We start from the raw sequence: 24,534 nt of genomic DNA, 5'->3' as shown, positions 1-24,534 counted from the left end.
GACCGTTCAGCTAGATCCAGCACTGAGTTAGACAGAGTAGAAGCTTGGCTGAACCTTAAAGGAGGCGGTTTCTAAAAAAGAATAGTTGTCTACATACACATCAAATGGTAAAGCAATTAATTCGAGGTTAACCTAACTACCAGAGGATCCATCCTTAATGAAGGTTTGGGATGGATGGGAGAAAACTAAGAGATGTGGGGAGTAGGGATAGTTAAGGAAAAGAACGAGGAAGGTACTAGTAAATTTTATCATATAGATATTAATAACTGCAAGATAATGTTATGTCCAGAATGTCTTCTCTGCATCATTAAAAAAATTTAAACAAATATAGCACTGAAACTCATGCTTTTTACATTTAAATCTTTTTTTTGTTTAACAAATTACCTTTTTATTTAAACAAATGTAGCTCTGAAACTCATGCCTCCATGTTACTATTGCTTTAAAGGAGTGAAGAATATAACTTGGAATTTATCAAAGACAACTCAGAATGCATTAAACAACAACAATAGTTTCCGTTAGCCTTTGAGCAACACTGTCCATTCCTATGCTCCTTGCACTTTCCAGGACTTTCCACACTCTCCTTTTGCTCAAGACTTCAACCTTCATCCAAGGTACATATTCCTCCATGAACTCAATTCAAAAGATAAAAGAAGAAAGTGTTTATCTATCTTAGGGCAAATTTCCAATTTCACTTTGTTCCAGCCTACTTTCTTTTCCAGTTATAGTTCTGCCTGGAGGTTTCTGAGTTTTCACTTTTAGAACAGGGTCAAAGTCCACTTTATCACACCTTACCTTTGATGCCCGGAAAGAGAAAGCTGTGGACTTGGTGTCTGACTTTGCCCGGTCTTGCAGTATAAGGCCTTGGTCTTCTGTCAAGGCCAGGTAGTGGCCTGTGGTGAGATGCCGGAGTCGGAAAGCCTGGCCCCATCTGATGTTACTGCCACTCCAGCTGGGCAGATGAAACAGACAAGAAATTGCATTTATACAAAAATAAGTCCTTTTCAGTATTTATCCTATGCTTTCTTACACATGCTAGCAGACTTATAACCCTTCTGGTGTCCATCCTTAAGGGAAAACGCACCAGGCTGCTGGCTTGCTGTAGGATTTCATGTCTGCCTACAACCCAGCATAGTGCTCTTTCTTGATGACATCAACAAGGAATGATCTTGAAGGCAGGTCAGTGGCTTCATACAACTGGAAGTCCCAGGTTTCCAATTTTTCCTTTACTCCACTGAAAGTTCTTGATGCAAATAACCACAAATCAATGGGAAGCTTGTCTTTGAATGGAAACTTGTTTCTGGGAAAGCCTTTCCAAACCTGCCATCTGAACTAAAACGTATTACTACCACAAAGAGTCCTATCTTCAAGGGAAATAGTAAAAATACCTGCACAGCTTACACTTGCCAGACAAAGAGAGACAACAAACAAGCATAATAAGTCAACAATGAATTATGTTAAAAGGATAAATTCTATGGAAAATAAGTAAAGCAGGATAAAAGGATTAAGACAAGTGAGAACTCATATTGAATACTGTCCTCTTCATGGTCCTTCATCAAAAGATCAGCACTCAGCAAAAGTTATGGTAAGTGTTATGGGAGAAATTATCCACTGAATAATCTAACTCAAAATTTATCTTTTTAAAATATTTGCTCATATGCAAAATACTTATCTCTTAAGAATATAAGGTTTAAGAGAGATGTGTGAAATTTTGAAACCACTCTCCACTTTGTCCAACTTTTTGAAGCATCAATAAATCCAAATCGCATTGATAAAAGGCTTGAATTCTTCATGTTTAGGTCTCTGGGGAAATGAGCAAGCAATCATAACCAGAAGTACGCATACATACTTATTTTGACCTCTTAAAAAGTCCATTAAGCAAGAACTAAGGCCTAATGTCCTGAGAACAAGAGTATGTTACTCTCAGATTTTTAATGGGTTTGGAAAGAGGATATAAATGACTCAAGCCAGTTAGTAAGTGCACGCTCCTTAAAACCGGTGTTCCTTAAACCATCAGCCGCCAATTTATCAGAAAAAAAAAACGTGTGCATATGTGTGTATGGTGTAAGAGAATTCCTAACATTCCCTTCTGATTGCCAATGGATTATCTTCAGGAGCCCTTGGGGGGCATATACCCTGCGTGAGAGAGACTTATTTTGAACATATTTTCGGGGGGAGACTGAGCAGAAAGAACTAGAGGGAAAGGCAGAGAAGGAAAATCAGAGGGCGATGCTTAACCCTCCTCTCTCATTCCAAGCAGTTTAGCTCTAGCCTAACTTGCAAATCCTCTCAGCCCAGTAAAGGTCCTGCATTGAAAGTGATCCCCCTTCAGTAGTTTGAAGTTAACCGACCACCTGAGGTTATTCAAAGCTTGTGGCTGGAAAGTCTCAGCCTCCTGTTCCTTCCACCAAGGGACAAAACTGTCTCTGAAAAGTTCTAGTAAGTACCTTTTTCTTCACACCTACATTTCCAGTGAAGTTTACATCTTCCTTATCTTATGCAATCGCGACCACCTGTCTGTGTGCCATTTAAAGCTAACTGTCCACTGGAGCCAACAAAGCTACTGAGAGGAGACGGAAGACTTATCTGGGTTCCAGAGAACCTGTTTAAGAAAACAAATGGGAGAACTTGGATGGCTTTCAGTGGCCTTGTCTGAGCTTTCCTTTTATAGTCAGCTACTGCAAGGGCAGAAAAGCCTGCCAGCCTCAGAGTCAACACAGTGGCTTTGGAGATTGTGTGTGTGTGTGTTCTTTAAAAACAAAGTCACAGAAATATCAGAACTTAGCTCTAGACAAAGGACTTGAAGGAGTTTGCCAGATGATGTGGAATGAATGAAATATTTAAGAGAACGGCCTGTACTGAAAAAGAAAGTAATCTTGAAAAGGGCATTCCCAGGCCTTCCATTACCTTATCCGAAGGGGTTCCACTCTCCAAAGAGACCTGGCTCGAGTCCCAGCTCCCCCAGCTTCGTAGAATATCCTCCTGTGAGCAGAGTTGGAGATCAGCTCCTACTTGCATGACACTGATCAGCACCCGGGTGAAGAACAGCTCCCTGCAGAGGCTGTTCAGGTACTGAGCTTGTCTAAGCCCTTTTGGAGTCAGCAGAATGCAAAGCCAGAATAAGAGGGAAGACAGTTTCCCAGTCTCTCTCTCTCAGAAAGGGTCAAAGCAGCTAGAGGGGAGGGAACTGCTCACCATATCCATATCATGGGCATTTATGCATCATCAGGTATACAAGGGAAAGGCAGGAACAAGAACATCTCCATTTCTATATCAGGAGTCACAATAGCCCAGTTACACAATGACGGCAGACACAGAATGCTCCAGTTCCTTCAGGTCAAGCTCCCTGATGTAGTTTTATTATATCTTTAAAAAATGTATTTGTACTTTAAAAACACCTATTCGACATAGTGTGAACTCATTTCCATCATTCCAGGGCAGTTGGAACAAAGCTTTATGCTCAGTTGTTACACTGTTCATGATTTTATTACTGTACTGTTGCTTCCTTTCCCGTGTTAAGAATCATCTTTTAATGTGTTTTGAAATAAAATTTTTATTTTAGAAAAATGTTAGGTTTATCAAACAGTTACTAAAGATAGTCCAGAGAGTTCCTGTATGATCTCACTCAGCTTCTCCCAATGTTATCATCCTATATTACCAGGGTACGTTTGTCAAAACTGAGAAACCAACACGAGTATGTCATTACTAGCTAAACTCAAGACTTTATTTGAATTTCACCTTAATTTTTCCTGCAAACTTTTTTCCAGTTCCAGGATATAATCCAGGATACCACACTGCGTTCAGCTGCCATGTCTCCCGTTTCCTCTGATCTGCTATGCTTTCTCCGTCTTGCCTTGTTTCTCATGACTTTGACAGTTTTGTGGAGTACCGGTTGGGTATTTTGTGAAATGTGTCTCAACTTGGATTTGTCTGATGTTTTTCCAGTGATTAACAAAGCCTCAGTTTTTAAAGTTTTATTTTAAATAAATTCTGTATAACCTGTGATCGGGGCAGGTTGCTCCACATTATACAAAATTCACAGTTTAAGAGCATGTCTCAAGAACAGCAGTCCCCAGATTACCTGGTATACTGAATCCAGCCACTTTCTGAGAATCTTGTGACCTCTGATCAAAACTGATTATTTAACTGCATTTACATTCACTAACTTAAAATCCTACCTCCACCGTAGAGAATTTGTATGGATCACAATTGAAGTGGTCAAACCCAAGAGGAATCCTGATTTAGATGTTAGAGACAAGAGTTAGTCAATAGTGGTGAAAAGAAAATGTATACTTATTTTTTTTTTCTGGAGAAGTAGTATAATTATGAGTCGATTCAAAATATGAGCTTGGAAGTTAAGACAGACCTGGGTTTGAATCTGGTAGCTGTGTGATCTCGGGCAAGCCCCTTCAACTCTCTGTGTCTCAGTTTGCTTTCTAATAAGGGTACTTATAAAACAATGTTGTGAAAATTTAAAGGACTTTTTAAAATGTTTAGAAAGTGTTTTTTATAAATGTTTATAAACATGCATAGAGGAACACATTAATCATACAGCAATCAATGAAACATTACATCAACAATGGTTACCTCTGGAAGGTGGGATTACAGAGGCTATTTCTCAATCTTTCTCTAATGTACATGTTATCGGGAAATGCCCAATAAATATTAGGAAGAAAATCTGACGTTGCTTTAGAGTTCCTACACCCCAGGTGTCTCTGTACCAGGCCTAGAACGGAAATGATACTGCACCAACCTGCTAGCCACTTAGGAAAATTTGCTAAGATTCTCATTTATGCTCCTCTTTCTCTAGTGCAAGCTGAAAGGATCCCTTCAGGAGAAGAGGGTGAAGTGGCTCACCCAGGTCACAGGTGAAACAGCGCTGGAGCTGGAACTAGAAGATTCTCTACCCCTGACATCTGAAGGATTTGTGAAGGTTTGTTCTTCCCACCTGTGACATTTGGGCGGCTTGCTCCATTTAATCTCACAAGGTTACTGAGGTTGAAACAACTTGTTCTTGTTCTCTAAAACAATTCCAAGGAGAGGAGTATAGTGGGCGGCAAGCTGAGGTGCTTTTGAAAGCTTGGCTGACAGCTTAGCCTTAGCTTCAATAGGTTAAGTAACTTATCCCAGGGTGTTTGACAAGCCAGAGGCAAAGCCAAGGATCAGAGCTCAAAATGTTAGACTGTTAATCTTGGGTTTCCACTCTGGGTCAGACAGTCTTTCCACATAGCCTGGCTGCTCTCAGGATTTACAGGGACTGAAAACGATTTCTTCTGGAGAGTCAGCACCATTGCAATGGAACACCTGCATGCCTTAGTGGCTGCTGGAGTCTTTTAGTGTGCTGTTTCCTATTCTATCATGCTCCCCAGATTTTGGTGCTCCTGGCCATGCTGGACATTTCTGAGGGTTTACCTGACAATAGAAGACAAAGACAAGGCTTATCACTCACTTCACCTAGACATCAAATAACACCAAGGCATCCTGTTTTGATTGAGACTAGTTGACACAAAGATTCAAGTTCCAGTGTGCTGAATAGCTGCTCACTTACCCCAGTCTCAAACCCTTCACGCTTCCTTATAAAATAAGCCTTCTTATTTTGTTTGATGATTTTTTTTTCCAAAACACAAATTAGAGCCTATGAAATCCTGGGCTAAAGAAAGGTCACCTTCATGTTTATTTAAATGATGGCATGCATGTCTGCTCCAGTGTGCCTATTGTGAAAATCCCCCTCCATCTACTTCACTCTTCCCATCACCTCCTTTCAAACACTTGCTGAGCCTTTCCTTGTAAGCAGAATTTTGCTGAATCACTTGAACAAAATGCCCACCAAATGACTAACCTAAGTAGCAGTTTCTGTCCAGCTGTTTCTAATTTGGCTCTAATTTTGATGACAGGTGTGTGCATGTGGGTGGGGGCATGCCCATGGTAAATACTTCATTTTTTCCAGTTCCCATCCTTAAAAGTAGAACAGGAATAGAGAGAATGAACTAGGAAAACCCTGATGTATTCCATCTTAGATACAGACAACCCTGCAAAACTCATAAAATCTTAGTTATTCATCTACCTGCAAACCTTCCCCTTGATGCAGCAGGATATGATATCAAAGGGACAGTAAATGGGCTATTGTATAGTTTCAATATTGAATAAAAGGCAAATCACAAGTGAACAGGATCACACGACAGGGTAGAGAATCCTTACTTCTAAGGAAAATAAGGTCGACCTAACTTCCTAATCGAGATAACTATCAACCGCCGGACCAGTGCCAGGGAGGCAACAAGTGAATTAAGCACAGCACTTTACATAGGTCTGTGCTTTATGTGTCCTAGGCACCCTTCTGGGTCACATCTGGTTCCTATGAAAGGGTATTCAGAGTAGATAGCAAGTAGGAAGAGACTCAGAACTATAAGGGATACACATTGCCAATGGGTGCTTTCTAAGGTGCATAATAATACATTCAAGCACATTGCTTCTGCGGGGGTCCTTGAGTACATCAATTAGGAAATGGTCCCTGATGGAGAGTCAGCAGCTCTGGCTTCTAGGCTTGCATCTGAAATCAGCCAGTGTGTGACCTGTGGCAGGAGCCTGACCTACATATTCTCCAAGATGTGAAGACTTGTGAGCCCACGTTTCTAATGAAGCAAAAGAAATGCAGTTGACAAGGTTCCTGTAGGCATTACACAAAAGGAAAAGAAAACATGATCACCGGATCAGACTCACTGCTGTCCCAAATTCAATCTAGTTTGGATCTGAGGTTTGATTTTTTTTTTAAATATCAGATTTCTATAGTTACAAGGCCAAGCTTTTTATGTTCTGTTCCTTTGATGATAGAATACCCAAAAAAAACTCTTTAGTATGCGTTTAAGACTTGGATTCATATCCTCCATGTCATGGTTTTGAAACTTTGAAAAGCATTCATGAAGGGGTCAAGTATAAGGACAAGAACACATCGTCCTTGGCACAGCGCCCTCTAAATGCACCCTTGGCACTACCCCCTGCTAAATCCAGCTCCAGCTGGACATCAGTTTCTCTAATGCTATTTAGTCATAAAACCAAATCAATGAAGTCCACCTTATTTACTTAGCACATGAAATGGAAATAGAGATGATCTGTCTTTGAAGAGCCTGGTGAATAATTTGTTTAAGTGCAGAGCCAAAGAAAATGAAGGGATCTGGAAGCATTACAGAACTGCCTAAGAACAGCATGTGTACAGAGCTCCTCCTGTAAGCAAGCTGAACTGCCATTCCTGTTTTACAAACCGGAACCCATGGCTGGAGGAAGGTTTGTCAATGGACTGACATGTACAGAGTTCATATATGGCTAAATACAATGTAAACTCTTTAGTTTGAGTCATTTGAGACTGGAAACAGCTAGTGGAAGAATGCAGCTACTGACTTACCTGTGCTGGGAATCATTCTGGTCTGTAGATGGTATCGTCAAACATTCATCATGACCATGGAAAAGACGTACTACATGCCCACCAAGTAGGTATCCTGTAAGAGAATTATATTCTACTGTGAATGATGGGAAGTTTAATGAAGAGAATGGCATATTTAAAAAGGGTAAATTCACACAGGTCTGAGCCAGTTACGGTAAATACTGAGAGAGACACATTTTGATAACTACATATTCCATGAATGCAGGCCTCAGGCAGAAAAGACAGGAAAGTCAAAACAATTCTAATGTTGAAAGTTAAATAGGGCTTCAGAGGTGAGCAAGTCCAACATCAAAAGGTAAGGTGAAAATAGTGTGCCAATTGATATCATTAAAAATCAAAAGGAAAATTAAGTTGCTAATGTTAGGAGTGTCCAGTTGCTTAGGATGTAAGTACACCCAATAACAAATTTCTGGATAAATATCCACAATCTCACTGTGTACACTTTGTAAAAAAAATCCAAATCAGATTGCAGTCATGGGAAAGAAAGGTGCTGAGAAGGGGGTAGCAGACCATTCTTAAGACCCTTTAGGAGAAGGCAACATTCAAATACATTTAACAAACAGATCAAATCTGGTTGCTACTCCTACAGCACAAAGGGAAAGCAGAACTACTCTCCAGCATCCCTGAGTGAACAAGTGTAGACGCTTTCATCAACAAACACTTAGCCTTCAGAATAAGGAAAAGAATCTCAATAGTCATGGAGTTCAGAGATGGAAAGGAAACAATGAACTTCAAAGACATGATGACCCATTTGTCTTCAAATAAATGCTGAACCTTAATTCAAAGAACATAGTAGCAGGAGAGGGGCTCCAGTCCGAGCTTTACCTTGCTCCAAGAAATGGGATTTGTTATTCCTCTGAATTAAGAAATTCTCCAGGTTAGTCTGTTCTCAGGAGACATATGAACTTAATATACCCAATGTCTGTGTCAGAATTTTTAAAGGAAAAAAAATCACATAATTAGATCACTTTAGGGGCTGTCTTAAAACTATTTTGGGTGCTGGATTAAAACAGTAAGAATGAGCAATCATGCCAGAGGAGAAAAGGGTATTATTAGTGAATTTTGTACAGTGACAGTCTGTTATGAGTTCAGTTTTTTTACCTAGACAAGGCAAGTTTTTCTAAAATTCCCTCAAATATTCAGAAGTCTCCTTCCAATTTTCCTGTATCTTTTTGTACTGCTAATCTGAGTTATAACCTCCTTTGCATTAAAAATGATTCATGATATATTATAGGGGATTCTTAACAGCTAATTTATTTAGAAAATTAAAGCCCTCCATGACCAACCTCTTGATTAAGCTCTCGTTCATCTCATGATGGAGAGGCCATGCCCTATTTGGAGTTTATCCTTTATGGTTTTTGGGCTCCTTCCATCAATATCCTACTCACACAGAGAACACTGCCAAGTGCTGGTGCATCATGACTTTTCTTAACTGAAATCTATCAGGGCCATAGTCAGGAAAGCAGCATCATGATGAAGATCACTTACGTTCTTAAGGGCTGAAGTGGGTTTCTCACCAGTGGATGCTGGAAGGACATTTTTCTACAGAGCAAGATGACTCAAGTGATGAGTTATCCAGACTATATTACAACGGCACTCAACACTTCTATAAGGACCTTTTGACATGATTTGCAAACACTCCTTAATTAATTTCCACAAGCCCTCTGTTGGGACCAGGAAATAATTTTATTCCTATGGTGAAAATAAAAAATTTAACATGGAGAAGATTGAGCCAAAACTTTCTTGAGAAAGACTTAAACCCAGAGCTTCTTGATTCTTAATAGAAAGGGATTGACTGACAATAGACCCAGGAGGGTGGGTTAATTTTGGCACAAAGGAAGAGGGCTAAACACATCCTACCTTTTAAAGCCTTCCACTTGTTGCCAAAAGAGTTAAGAATTTGTCTTTTCCTGAGTCTTCAGTTTAGCTATCATGCATTCTGAAACTGGGGTATCACCTTGACAACTCTGTTTTCCTTCTTTTTTCAAACATGATAGAATAGACCGGCATTCCCAGTTTGAAAGTACTAGACTTTAATAGGGCTAAAGCCTGTGATGAGTATTTTTAAAAATTCTGATCTTGCTATAATGTGCCAAAATGTAACACAATAGCCCATAGGTCACTGACATTTGATTATTCTTCTCAGCTGTGGTATTACCTATGAGTGAGGTAAGGCCAGTACATTTATTACACAACTTGAAAGGTGTATTGATTTTTACCTGATTCTATGAAATAAAATACATTGAACAACGTTGGATGACTTTATTTCCAAGGGAAAAATAATTTCACCTCTTATGTTAAAATGGCCTTCCATAAATACAAGTGAAAACAAATGACCAAACACTTTTATAATAGAGTAAGTGCTTCGCCTGCATGGAGAGATGCATAAGGAGAAATATAAACCATGTCACCTTCTTGGCAAATAATCTCTTCTAAAACTGAAGGTGCTGAGGTCTTTATACTTACAACTAGTAAGCAAAAATAAAATTGTGGAAACTCAGGGAGAGAGCAAAGGTGCATATCCAAGTCCTGAATACACGTAGTGCTAAAACAATAGTGGGCTCCAAGGGGTTAAAAAAAAAAGTTCAGGGATGCTCATGTAACTGGAAGTTAGAATAGAAAATAATCTGTACTGAATTCAGAGAAAGAAACTCAAGTGAGCTAAAATCAGGCTACCTGTGTACCAAGACATTCAGGTGAGATCTGGGAAGTAGCAGAAAATGTCAATGTATACAGCTCAAGAGAGATAGGCAGGCTCAGGGCTAAATGCATTTAAAGAAGCACACCTTCTTCGATGCTACTTCCTGAGCACGTAGGATGTACATTCCAGAGTGTTTGCATAAAGGAGGCATCCACTTGTATGTTACCATTTGATACTGAGAGATGCTGCAGCAGAAACAGAAATGAGACATCTTTTAAATCACCAGTCCAGTGCCGACAGAAACAGCTCACCTAGAACTTCAAGGATTAAATTAAACAGCCTTACTGTCATCTGGTTCTTTCTATACAGCCTGTGGGAGATTTCTCCACCTGATCTAGAAGCAGCTTCAAAGTGGGACACTTTATTCTGGGGTGAGGAATTATTCAGCTACAGAGATGGCAGACATGTGTTGACTTCATCCCCTCAGCTGGAGCTGATTCAACACCAACTCATAAAATGTCCATTCTTTGTAGGATAAGATAACTCACAAATGGGAAAAATTACCCAACACTTGGCCTAGGCAAAGTAAAATCTGCCCACAGATTTTACTTCAGTTGACTCCGTGAGAAGCTTCTCTGACGTTTCTCTCATCTTCAGGCATCCCCACCCCCAGACAAGTGCCTGACACAAATGGTGCTTTTTATTACCCAACCCCAGCTGCAAAATCTCACTGGCAACTTCCACTCTCTGTGATACCCCATGTCCTGAAACATTGTACATTTTCTTTCTTTCTCCAACATAAACTTATTTTCCTATATTCGATCCTTTCTTGTTCTTCCCTAAACAAGAGCTAAACAACGTAATAAATTCAGAATAATGGGAGTTAATGTGCATATAGCGCTTGGGGCATTTTAACAGTTTGCTGGATGCAGCACCATCATCTAAAAGAATAACAGGTTAGTTCCGGACACCATGATCACGTGGCAGCAGACAGTATTTAATCATCCCTCGAGTGCAGTTGACTATTGAACAACACGGGTTTGAACTGCACAGGTCTGCATATACATGGATTTTCTTCCACCTCTACTCCCCCTGAGACAGCAAGATCAACCCCTCCTTCTCCTTCTCTTCCTCCTGTTCAACGTGAAGATGACAAGGATGAAGATCTTTAGGATGATCTACTTCTACTTAATAGACAGTATATATACTTTCTCTTCCTTATGATTTCCTTAACATTTTTTCTGTCTTCCTTTATTGTAAGAATGCAATATATAATACATATATCATATAAAATATGCTTTAACAGGCTATTCACATTATCAGTAAGGTTTCCCATCAAAAGTAGGCTACTTCTTATCAAAAGTTAAGTTTTTAGGAGTCGAAAGTTACACTTTAATTTTTTATTGTGCCAGGGGGTCAGCATCCCTAACCCCTACATTGTTTAAGGGTCAACTCTATATATGTAAAAGCATCTTATTCTATCCAACCTGCTGTGGCTCAGTTCTTCATGGCCATCTATTCCTAAAGGAAAAATTTCTGAAAACAGAAGACTCTTATATTATGAGGTACTTACAAGGTATCTTTCAGAGGACACGCTGACGAGGATGAGGTCATCGCCAATTCGAACTTTCTCTCCTTCGGACCTCTGTTTGGAAGCAGGATGTATAGTCCACCAACAGGCTTCTCCTACATGAAGGCTCCTTGAGTTAGTCATTGCTTCACAGAAGCCAGTGTCCCTAATTTTGCTCCTTGTTCTCCTTCCTCTTAGGACAACCCTTCACGTGCACACAACAAGTGCACATTCCAGACCTCAACTTCTGTTGGTCTCTAACCGTTCCAGACAGCCCCCCATCTGCTCTTGACTATGTCTGTCATTTTCATTTTCCCTAGAGACAGAAAAACAGTGTATGGAAAGGAGTATTGGAGGCCGGAAACTATAGCGGCCTTTGAGTATTTTTAATGCAAATAGGAAAAATGCTTTTTATAGTCTTTCAAATTTCTGTTTTGAGAATTGACTCCAATCAAGACCACCAAGAATAAATAAATAAATAAGAATCTATGTCATTGGTCTACTGCACACTTACACACTTTCATCTTTGTCTCCCCCTGTCCTAAGGGAAGCTTTTTTAAAGGCTTACATCTGCAAGGACTCAGACAATAAGTGAGAAATTGATAGCAAAGAAGATAAATTGACATTTTGGAAAAAGGAAAGCAGGTGGAAGCTTTTAGCCAATAAAAAGTGAAAACCCAGGTCTTTCAGTAAGAAAATGGAGATGAAGAAACCATCAATAAAAAGCCAATTCCTGCTGCAGAATCTCAAGAAAGTCCCTGGACTTGGAAGCACCAGCTACCTGCGAAGGCAGAAAATGGGTTGAAAACGGGACTGGTGGAAAGGTTGAAAAGGACATTCAAATCCCTGATGCCTTTCCCTGCCCTGAACAGCCAGAAGACCTCTCCTCCTCCACGCTATAGAAGATTAGAAGTTTAATCCATGGAAAAGCCAACTACCAAGGGTGGTCTGGTTTTGGAAATACCAGACATTGTCAAACAAAGAAGTAGAGTCTTGCTGAAAACAGAATTCAAACTTTATACCCTGATTAGTAAAACCCCAGCTCCTTTCCCTCCCTCCCTCCACCCAAATTTGAGGATCACTCTTTAGGGAAGCCAAACTAGCTAAGATAAAACATACTGTGGCTTTAGGTCACCAGTGAAATGCTCAGGTCTCTGCCAGATGACCTAAAAGTGAGGCTTAACAGACAACAAGCCTCAGCCAGCTTCTAGTCAGCTTTTACTGCCTTGATGAGAACATGAATGAAGACCAAGGACCACCTGACAACCGAGGAAGGTCTCTAACAGGAACCACAGAAACAAAGTGAAAAGAGAAGAGACTTGGAGAAAGCAAAGATTATAAAGAACAAATGAAAACTTAAAAAATCTTATAATTAATAATCTCAGAGGACATTCATGAAACAGCTATATTAGTATCTATGAAGGATCCCTTCCAAGGAAAAGAAAAATACTCACTGATCCTGGAAAAAAAAAGAAAAGAAAAGAAAAGAAAAAGGTGGTGGGATAAAGCTGAAAAATTCTTCCAGAAGGAAGGAAGACAAAAAACAGAATTATCAAAAAACCAACCTAGAGGAATTCCAGAGAGCAAGAACTGAAAAAGAGAGAGGAAATTAACAAAGAAATACTATTAAAGTTTTTTCAAAGCTGAAAAATGAGCATTTCCAGATTGAAAGAACCTACAGAGTCCCTAACACAGTAGAGATTAGAAACCCACTCTAAGGTGCATTCCAGTGAGATGTCAGAACAGAAAGAGGCCACGCCAAGACACATCGCTGTGGAATTTCAGACACCAAGGCACAAGAGACGCTCTTAGCTGCTTTCAGAAAATAAAAGCAAGTCACACACAAAGGATAAGAAATCAGAATGTAGACTTCTCAACAGTCAGACCACTGGCTAGTAGAAAGCCTTCAGGAAGCTGAGGAAAAAAAATTTCCAATATAGAATTACAGTAAAGTGTGTATGACTTGTGAAGCTGTAATTAGGAAATTTTCAGACAAAAATTTAATCCACATGCATCTTTTCTGTAAAAGTTACTAGATAATGTGTTCCACCACAGTGAGGTGGTAAACCAAGAAGGCAAAAAACAAACAAACAAACTAAAAAACCAGAAAACAAAAACCAACCCTGTCAGATCTAATAAACATGGAATCTAGGGCAAGGCAACAGAAATTCCCTAGATGATGGCTGATGTTTCTAAGAAGATGAAACTGAGAGAACAGATCATGCAAGCGAATCTAACCAGATTTTCACTTCTATAGGAAAGTTTGAAAATGAATACATGATTGGGTCACAAAAAAACTAAGCAAACAAATAAGGCAGTTATTAACTATTGGAAAACTCTAAAGTAATACAATAAATTACCTGGTCAGAATATATTATGTGGCTCATTTGCAAATAAAAGTTACAGTTATAGCAGTGAAAGTAGTTAATATTGATTTGATAGTTAAATAAAATAGATGAAAATCTATTGGAAGGATGGGAAGAGTGGAAGAAAAGACAGGGAAGAGTGAAATAAAAGCAAAATTTTTATCAGGACATCCACAGTTAATGCATAATCTAGAAAGAATTTTAAAAAGCATTGTTTTAATATGTATATTATAAACAAGTGGTAAACAATACTAAAAGAGCTGAAAGTAGATGCCCCAGAGAGGCAAGCATCCAAAGGAGGGAGGGCAGGAGACTGGTGTTTATAATAAGCTCAGGAGCACTATTTCTCTCTTTAATCTATGTGTGAGTACTACTTCAATTAAACTAAACATGACATGACAAAGAGGTTGAGCTCTACATTTGAAGGGGAAAATGTTGTATGCATCTTTAATGTTCTCTGAGACCACCGAAGGGTGTCCATGATGAAGGGGGTCCTGAAGAGGAACACACAGAAAGAGTACTTTGCTTCCCTGCCCTCTCCCACACTCTGGAGCCAGGGATGGAGCTGTCCCTGAAGCAGTGGGATGGGCCAGTCCAAAGCCGTAAAATACAAAATAACACTTTTAGTGTGGGTATGCTTTAAACATTTCTTTCCTCCTAAGTCTAAATTCTAAAGCTATATCTAAATCCTAAAAACAAAACAATTAAACAACTTTAAAAGGAGACCAGAATAAGTAATTTTACCCAAAATCAAGGATAAAATGATCATCAATTCTGTGTTAAGTGTGAGAATGTACAATTCAATGTGTTGGGGAAAAATGCTAGAATTGTTCAAGAAACTGCCCCCAAACTTTCTCCTCATATTCTCCTATAGTTTCAACTCCACTACTGGGCAGTTTACTTGTTTACAACTCTGAAGGGGTTTCTGAGCCAGAAGTGCATTCAGAGAACTAGCCAGACAGGAACAGGGGACCCTTCTGTTGGATTCCGTGTGAACCTCCTCCTGCAGTGAGGAGAATCTCCAGGTAATGCTGAACCTCATCTGAGTTGGAGGTGCATCCTCCTTGTCCCTCACAAACGCCAGCTAGCTTTCTTCAAGGAGAATATCACATGAGTTTGGGTGAGAGATGCAAAACAAACGTAAGTTAGTTTAGGCTCTAGGTTTTCATGAAGACCTAGTCAAGCCTTCTCTCCCTGTCTTCCGCCACAGGTAGCTTCTCAACAGCCAGCTTGAATATGGGTTAGTTCTATGTGTTTGCCTTGTCTGTCAACAGAATTCACACCTAGTCTGATGTGTGAATTTCATCAGTTTAAAAACTGATGAAAAGAGTAATGTTGCCGCTGTTGTTTCCCTTTATTTTTATTTAAGGCTCTAACAATTAAAATAATTCTCTGAACACTTGACTAAAAAGCGGTGTTTCTCAATTTCTTTCCAATCTCAAAAAGTATCAAGTTATTTTACTGATATAAATACAGTGACCATATTTGACTTTTCTGATCATATTCTTCAGGATTGACAGTTGGTCTATATTTAGAAAGAAGTGTATATTCAGAGTGTGGCACTTCACTCACTTTGTAATTTCCAGCAAGGTCGACAACACCTTAGAGGAAATTATATTTTAAGACTAACACTTTGGCTGAAAACAAAGAAACTTTAAATCAAATTCAAATCTAATATTATTTTAGGAAAAAAGCCATAATGGGCAAAGGCGGGGCCACTTTTTTGCTTGGTACAAAAACAGGAAGAGGAAGAAAAGAGCAAGAGGTTCCCTCAGGCACTCTCAGGACACCATTGTGCAAGACATGGAAACAGCAAGTACACACGGTTTGGATGCTGGATTTTTTTTTCTAGATCTATAAAATTAGGCAACCTGGATCCTTCCATTATGAACTGACCTAGCTTTAGAATAACAACATAGGCTCTTGTCTTTCTTTGGCTACCCAACATTGGAACCCTCTTCCTATTTAAGGGAGAATGTCATATTACAGACTGTATTCAAATTAGACTTTTCCTGCAGTGTGCCCTAACCTGTTTTCTCTTCCTTGGTCTCTGTTCCTACCCAATTTTCAAGCCTGAGGCTCCAGATTTAGTGAAGGCTCTACCAAACATCCTTCTAGTAAATTCTTATTCTTACTGAGTTAACCTGAATCAAGTTCTCTTGTTTGCAACAAAGAATCCTGTTTGGTACCTAGCCCAACCTCTAAATGGAGCAGAAATTCCACATGTAATGCCCTTGACGGATGGTCAGATTGTTCATGAATATTTTTAGCCACAGGGAGCACCCGATATCCCAAGGCCGGCTGTTCTCCTGCTCATTAATTGCTGATGTTCCGAAGTAGTTTTCAAAATTGATGTGAAATGTGCCTCCTTTCAACTCCTACCCACTGCTCTGTTGGTCTTTGGAAGAACCCCAGCAAGTCAGCATCTTGTTTGATATTACAACTTTGAATATCTGTAGATTATTATCTTAGTCCTCGGTTCTTTATTTTTGGTTTCCAGTGAGAACCTGTGCCATCCTGGTCAGCATTTTCAGCACCCACCTTTTAACTGTCAATATTTTTGACTATACTAAAAAAAAAATAATAATAATCCATTGGTTCCCAAAGTATATGATGTATATCATTGGTGGGAGGCAATTAAATGACACTGACAAATACAGTGAGAAATTTATTTTCAGTTTTACTACTTTTTTCTTTCGAGACGAAGTCTCGCTCTTCTCCCCCAGGCTGGGGTGCAATGGTGCGATCTCGGCTCACTGCAACCCCTGCCTCCTGGGTTCAAGCGATTCTCCCACCTCAGCCTCCTGAGTAGCTGGGATTACAGGCGCCTGCCACCACACCCAGCTAATTTTTGTACTTTTAATAGAGTCGGGGTTTCACCATGTCGGCCAAGCTAGTCTCAAACTCCTTACATCAGGTCATCCGCCAGCCTCGGCCTCCCAAAGTGCTGGGATTACAGGCATGAGCCACCGTGCCCGGCCCATTTTTACTACCCTTTTAAACCTTCTGATGCTTTCAAATAAAGTTTTACATTTGGAACTAGTGTATCATTAACATGTTATAATATTTGTCAACATCTCTTCAATTACTTAATGACATGGTTTTCATTATTTTACTTTTATGGCAAGCAAAAACAGTTTATACTTACGGCAATAAGTTTTGTCTGTAAAATTTTAAGTACAAAAGTAATTAAATTTAAATAAAATCATAAAGTAAATGATATTATAAAGGATACAGTGGAATGGCAAAATCACGATTATAGATGTCAATAACATTTGGAAAACACTACTTTAGACATAGCTTGTTCATTGCAGAACAAAATAGGACTACTCCTTTGATCTAGACACTATATTTCATTATTTAAGCCTTTATTACGACACCTTTATTTTTTGGCAGTCATTTAGTATCATTGGTTCTTATCACAAATGATTTGTTCACTTACTTTCAATACCTAACAACGTTAAAGATTTGTTTTTCTTTGAGATTCTGGCTGACTGTGGTAAAAACATTATGTTCTCCTTCATTCTTAGTTTCCGTGTTTCCATTACACATTCTTTCTCTAGTTCATTATTCTGCAATTTTTTTTCAGACCTATTTCTTAACCAGGTTGGTTTGGAATCCCAAATGAGTAACGCATTCAGGGTCCTTCTCAAAAGCCCCTTAGCCCAAGACCCCCGCTGAGCTCAAGAGATCTGGGAATGCTGACTCACCTGTGGCATGTTCCCGTAGACCTACATCAAAGGCAAGTTTGTCTGTCTGGGATCTTGATGTAGTCAAGCATGTTAGATACTGTGAAAGAAGAGCAAATACTAGTGAAGTCACACTCTTCCATTGAGTCTTGGTATCTTACCACTAGTTAGCTTCTAGTTAAGTTCAACAATGAGCTACTGTGAAGACAGCTCTATTTATCTTGTTCATTGGAAAGTTAATTGGTAAATGCCTTAATACAATACTTTCATTTTTAATTATTATTATTATTTTTAGAGTCAGGGTCTCATTCTGTTGCCCAGGCTGGAGTGCAGTGGCACAATCCTAGCTCACTGCAGCCTCAGACTCCTGGGCTCAAGCAATCTTCCCACCTCAGCCTCCCAAGTAGCCAGGACTACAGGTGTGTGCCACCATGCCCAGCTAATTAAAATAAATTTTGTGGAGATGTGGTCTATCTATGTTTCCCAGGCTGGTCTTGAACGCCTGGCTTCAAGTGATCCTCCTGCCCTGGCCTCCCAAAGTGTTGGGATTACACATGTGAACCACCCTATGCCCAGCTGAAAATACTTTTACAATACACTTAAAACCTCAAAGATGCTCTTATCTGATGACTCAGTAGTTAAATGTATAGAACTATATGTTATAGAAATGAGTTAGAAATATTAAAGATGCCTTAAAGATGTTGAGAAACTTTTAAATTAGGAACAATACAAATGGAACATAAATGACCAACAATAATAATAAAGCTAGATAACCTTTGATACTGCTATTTTATATAATATTATGTTATTGAGTATTTATCAAGAATGTGTAAGAGCCTGGAACATTATTTACAATACATGAAGCTAAAAAGTAATATATAAAATAGTACAATTATAAGTTAACCTGTACTCAAAAATTTAAATGTGTAGCAACCAGACTAAAAGGAATTACACAAAAATGAAACAGAAGTTGATTTTGGATAGTGTGGAGGGACATGGATGACCTTCCCATGACCATGGGACAGAAGGTCCCATGACCTTCTGTTTTTGGTTTTTCAAATTTTCTATGAGCTTTAAAACTCCTCAAAATAATGGTTCTTTTTCTTATTATAAAGATACATGGGCAGGTAAAACTTAGAAATGACTGTTAAACTAACTTAATAAAGCATCCCATGGCCTCCTTCACTGATGGGCATAGCTGCTCATCTTAGGATTAGACTGAGAGGCAGGTAAGCTCTTGGGATGTGCTTTCTAAGCCACAGTTCTACTTCTCTGCGAGAGGAAGATGGAAAATCATTGCAATGTAGAAAGCCATATCTTATAGGCTTTATTCCCAGAGCTGTACTTAAAAGGAGCTAGCCAGTAGAGAGTATATGTTCACTGTGAGTAGAACTTTTTTTTAGGAGGGGTAAACTTAATGTAAATAATGCAAGTCTTTGTGTCACTACCATGATATTAGCTTGTTTTTGAAGCCATAAGAAGTATGCTTTTGAAGTTCTGTTTATTACATTTAGGTAAAGACAAGTGTTGGAGTTTTATTTACCCTATAGATAAACACCAGATTCTGAAAGATAGTATCACCTTCTCAATTCCAGATATTATCAGGGTTCAAAGTTTCCCTACTCTCAAAAACATCTCCATCTCCTACTTGGATACACTTCCGTTTGGACATTTTTGTTTTTCGTCTTTTGCCATGAAGGACTACAGCAGACGAATGTTCAGGCTGAAAAGGTCAGCCTCTTACCAGTGCTCAGAAAAAAAAATATATATATATATATGCTGCAGCAAATGAATTATTTAACAGGCAGCTGTTGCTCCTGTTGTCAGTTTGATAGTTCAAGCCTTGAGATGAACTTTGCATCATGCTGCTGGTATAAATGTGTGGAAATAGTCTTGAATTAACGTATCAGTTTTCCACTAGGGCTAGAGGAAAATGACAAGCCTTTCTTACACCGAAAGAAAGTGAGGATGATACACTATTGGAGTGGCATATAGTTGATTGAGTAATAATATTCTCCTTAATACTCCCTGCAAAACTACAATATCTGCCTTTTAAAATATTGTAAAATTATATTTTTTTATAAATTATAAATAAATTATATTTAAAATGTAGCAATTTTTTCAAGTTACATTGAGGCATCATCCTTCTGTCGATTCTGGTTCTAGATCCCTGATTAGTAATAGCCATGCAGCTTTCTGTGACTACCTTGCCTCTTGTCTTCCTCCTGGCTCTGGATTAGCATCCCACCTGCAAGTTCTTCCAGGACTGAAAACAGTGAGTACCATTCTATTTCTCTTAGCTAGGTAAAGGAGGAGAACTGTCACAAAATTTCCATTTGATTGGTTTTTCTTCTATGCTGGTTATCCTTGTATACTAAAGCGCTCTGTTACTCCATAAGCCATTTGATCATGTGTCAATTCAACAAATATTTATTGAGCATCTAGTATATCAAAGCACTGCATTTGGTGGGGTTATAGGTCTAGCAAAATAAGAAAGAAACATGGCCCTCTTCCTCAGGGAGTTGGAGGTGGGGTATCAGACATTGATGAAACAAAAAACACAATTGCAATTATTGCAAATTGAGGTAGGTCATATGTAGGAAATGCCAAGAGGATAACGTGCTAAAATTAGTTATGTTCCAATTGTTCCTGCTGTTACGTTGTTATTGCTGGCTTCCTGTATTTCCCCCTCTTCAGTTTTTCCTTCTCCTTGAATGATGAAAGTGGGCACCAGAGCTGCTTACCATTCCGCTGAAAGAGTGCCTCAGGAGAACTGCATGGCCGTATAACAGGGTCCTGTGGCCACCTCCTTGTGCTGCCTGTGGGAATGAGGAAGAATAAGGTCAGCACATGCCCGTTGTGGCTTCTCCGGGAGCCAAGCAACACAATAATTCTGGGAGACAGACTACCAGGAAAAGACCCATTGCAAAGCTCCTAAGGAATTCATTCCAGAAGCAAGTGGCTGGTCTACGGGCAGAAAGAGACGTGTGACCACAGCCATGCAACATCCTTGGGAGAGGGTGTGTGGGACCAAATCTATTCCCAGAAATGGCCTCTGCCCAGGATCAGCAGAAACCCAGAGCTGTTCTACCAGAGAAGCATGTAAGTGACATAGGTACTGCTTACCTTCCTTTGAAACTTCTCAGAAGCGTTCAGAGTGAGAGAGAGAAACAAATGTGATGTAGCCATAGCCTAGCAACACAAAGGCAGTGTGGCAGGCGGCACATGGTCACATTCTGTGCCATGCAGTCTTTTCCCTTCAAGGCACTTATGCCTTCTGCCCACTCCCTTAAATGGGTCCTTTATACACAGATCTCACCAACGAGAGATGGCTCTGAAATCCAGGACTTTAAAAGGGTAACCAGTTATGCAGAAATAGATCCTTCAGTTGAGAGACCATCTAGGTATCTTCTCTGCCTCACCAGGCAGTTCCACTTTGGCTATTTGCTCAGTGGCTGCCCAAACAGTGGGAGAGGGAGGCATGAGAGGGAGAGATGGCCCGACATAAAGCCACTGGTGTCTGTTTCTTATTCTTTCCCTGAATCTGATTCACACGTCACCATGCTGAACTGAATGGTACATGATAGGAGACAAAACTGTAATTTATTATAGTTAGAGGTGAGTAGGTCGCATGGAAAATGGAAATCTACAGAAAATTCTAGGAGTTTTTGGCATCAACATTTCCAACCTCTCACCTAAGTATCTCTTCATCATGCTAACCAGCAATCAAGTTTTTGATCACACACCCTTTTTGGAGAAAATATTTGAGCATAAGCCCTCCCCTCCCCAAACATGCACAGAAAGAGAATCTAAAGCTTGAGATAAAAATTAATTATGAAGATAATTCTAGCATTTTTCTTCAAGGACACCTCTTATGCAGTCCATTTTATTCAGAGTTACAGACTGGCAGCCCAAGGACTGGTTTGAGGCTCTGCCCGTCTCCCGTGTCCACCTGCAACCACACCAATGAGCAATGCAGAGGAAAGGGAATCAGGTAGTGTGGAGGACAAAGCCTGGAGTAATTTTATTTCAATTCTATTTGGATTAATAGCATCACTCTGTCAAAAAGATGATTTTTCATGTCACATAATGAGCCTAAAGAAGAGAAAAAAGATAAACGTGGTATCATGTTCCAAAAAAGCCGGTAACTAAATATAAATGCGGCTGCGCTTTTTCCCACAGCTACAGAGATTATTTAAGTGTTCTCCAGGCTTTAATACTGTGTGGAATTACAATGCTCTTCACAATATTTTAAAATTTCTTGAAATCATCTGCACTAACTTTAGTTTCTGTATTTATAAATGTGTCAACAGCTAATGTTAAAATTAGACATACCAAATAATTTTCACATCTTGCCAATCTACCAAAAATTGATCTTATCCACTTATATTATTACAAGTTAATGGATGGCTCCTGATGGCTTACACTGTGGGTGTGTCCTCCCAAAACAGTCCTACATCTCAAACGGATCCACTGACCAGCTTATACTTCCTACCTTCCTCCAACTCTTCTTTGTCCCTACCAACTCTCTAATCATAAGAAGAATTAAGAGTCACTGATCCCCAAAAGCTGGGGGAGGGGGGTGTCATGTTTTGAGAACCATTGCTTTCAGGGAACAAGCAAGCTTCAAGTGCTAGAATGGCAAAAGTGGTTTTCCTACAGAGCTTTTGATAATTATCATCATGGTGATTACTACCATTGGGCACACACTACTGAGGTTTACAGAGATTAAGTAGCTTGCTCAAAGTCATATAAGTTCCAAGTTCACAGTCAGGATTTAACAAAAGTGAGGGCACTTAACTATGTGCTATACTGTCTCCTTTTCTGAAGTTTGATGATGGGGGATGAGATTTGTGTATAAAAATGATGTTACAAATGGAAACACCTATTAAAATAGGTGAAGGCAGAGAGTATTGAAATAGACTAGGAGGATAAAGAGGTATCATGCAATGACCTTATTGTAAAAGTAGGCCACAACATTCTGGTAGGACTGTTGACACACCTCCATAGTAAGAGAGGAGCACATGTGGGCAAAGGTCTGGAAGTGGAAAGAATAAAGCACATATGGGGACTTGCAGACCATTCGCTGGTTTGTGGTGGGGTGGATGAACAGGAGTAAAAGGACATGACACAGGATGTAGGTGAGGGGTGGCCAGATTATGGAGGGCTCAGACTGACTGGCTCAGTGGATGGACTTTGTTCCACAGCTAACAGGATACTGGAGTAGATTTTTGAAAGGACAGTGTCACAATCAAAATTGTACCTTAGAAAGGGAACCCTGACTGCAAAATGGTGGAAGAAATGGGACGGTCAAGCCACAGAAGTAGAAAAAAAAATAGTCTCATTCCGTTTCCATGAAAGCATTACGAGGGGTGAGCAGACCAGAAATCTTGGTGTCATCCTTCACTCCTTTCTTCTTCTCATACTCCCCCATTAGTTCAAAGCATCTTTCGGTGCCACCTCCAAAAGATACTCTGTATCCCACTACTCAGCACCTTGCGCCTGCCAGTCTAGTCCATTCTATTGCCACCAGGTCTCACCAGGGTTTTGTTAATCACCGACCTTCCAACTGTGCTCCCTGCTCTGCCCTTCCTCCTTTCAGTCACGGCAGCCAGAGACATCCTTTAAAAACTGTCAATCACATCATGTTACTTTCTTGCTCAAAAACCCACAATGGCTTCCCACCATACTTAAAATACAAGTACAAAGTCCTCACTGTGGCCTCTAAGGCCGTGCATCAGGCAATTTTTTTTCTGTAAAAGGGCAGATAGCAAATATTTTAGGCTTTGTGGGTGAAATATGATACGCCTTTTTTTTTTTTTTTGAGACAGAGTTGTGTCCCTCTGTTGCCCAGGCTGGTGTGCAGTGGTGCAATCTCGGCTCACTGCAACCTCTGCCTCCCAGGTTTGAGCAATTCTCCTGCCTCAGCCTCCCTCCTGAGTAGTTGAGATTACTGGTGTGCACTGCCACACCCAGCTAATTTTTGTATTTTTGGCAGAGATGGGGTTTTCCCATGTTGGCCAGGCTGTCTCGAACTCCTGACCTCAAGTGATCCACCTACCTCAGCCTCCCAAAGTGCTGGGATTACAGGAGTGAGCTACCATGCCCGGCCTTAATGTATTTTATTTTATTTTATTTTTTAAAGAATTTGCCCTTTAAAAAATGTTTTAAAAACATTCTTCTAAAAATTTAAAAACCTCCCTTACCTAAAGGGTTGTACATAAACAGGCCATAGTCTGGATTTGGCCTGTTGGCTGTAGTTTGCATATCACTGCCCTGTATGACCTGGTTCCCTCATACCTCTCTAACTTCACCTGCCAGCAGCACGCTCTCCATCACATCCTCTGCTCCAATCATACTGGTTTTCCTCTGTTTTTCAGACACGCATGCTCCCACCACAAAGCTTCTGCACACGTTTCCCTCTGTCTGAAATGCTCTTCCAATATTCTCATGGTTAATTTCCACCCTTTATTCAGTTCTGTGCTCAAACATCTTATGAGAGAATTCTTCTCTGGTCAAGTCTTCTAAAAGAACAATCATCCTTACTCTGTCACATTTTCTGCTTTATTATCTTCTGTGGTATTATTTTTAATATGAATTTATTCTCTCTCCCCCTAGAATATAAGCTCCATGACCATGTTGTATCCTCTGCCATGCCCATGTCAGTGCCCGGCACCATAGGAGGCATGCATTAAATATTTCCTGAATGAGTAAGTAATTAGGGGAGGTGGTGTTTTGGTTTCATCTTACAGATGGAAAAAAAAAAAAGGCATAGAGAATTTAATAAACATTCCCATGACGAGCTTGTCAGCAACGTGTTTGGATTTGAACTTAGG

At 39.7% G+C, this 24,534-nt stretch overlaps 1 protein-coding gene across 20 annotated transcripts in view, besides 1 other annotated feature; it reads right to left on the bottom strand.

The window, feature by feature from the left end:
- The window catches only part of RYR3 (ryanodine receptor 3), a 555,136-nt gene that overhangs the window by 314,994 nt on the left and 215,608 nt on the right, over positions 1–24,534 (bottom strand). For all 20 annotated transcript variants that reach the window (XR_001751370.2, XR_001751371.3, NM_001036.6 and 17 more), the window contains 7 exons: positions 20,443–20,517; positions 17,720–17,798; positions 11,647–11,759; positions 10,219–10,318; positions 7,394–7,487; positions 2,905–2,979; positions 793–949 (listed from right to left, as the gene is read on the bottom strand). Coding sequence is in view for 18 of the 20 variants with exons in the window: in NM_001036.6 (NP_001027.3) it covers positions 793–949; positions 2,905–2,979; positions 7,394–7,487; positions 10,219–10,318; positions 11,647–11,759; positions 17,720–17,798; positions 20,443–20,517 (693 nt within the window). In the remaining 2 variants the exon portion in view is untranslated. The remainder of the gene's footprint in view (positions 1–792; positions 950–2,904; positions 2,980–7,393; positions 7,488–10,218; positions 10,319–11,646; positions 11,760–17,719; positions 17,799–20,442; positions 20,518–24,534) is intronic.
- Positions 4,605–5,804: an enhancer, noted in NCBI's record as "BRD4-independent group 4 enhancer chr15:33837506-33838705 (GRCh37/hg19 assembly coordinates)". NCBI's record gives its function as "activates an origin of replication core promoter dependent on BRD2, P300/CBP, MED14 and CDK7 cofactors, and independent of BRD4, by STARR-seq in HCT116 cells {active_cell/tissue: HCT116}" and the evidence as "EXISTENCE:reporter gene assay evidence [ECO:0000049][PMID:35650434]".

This window comes from Homo sapiens, chromosome 15, assembly GCF_000001405.40.
Source record: "Homo sapiens chromosome 15, GRCh38.p14 Primary Assembly".
Lineage (NCBI taxonomy): Eukaryota > Metazoa > Chordata > Mammalia > Primates > Hominidae > Homo > Homo sapiens.
The sequence above is the reverse complement of the archived record's forward strand: the minus strand, read 5'-3'. Positions and strand labels throughout refer to the sequence as shown.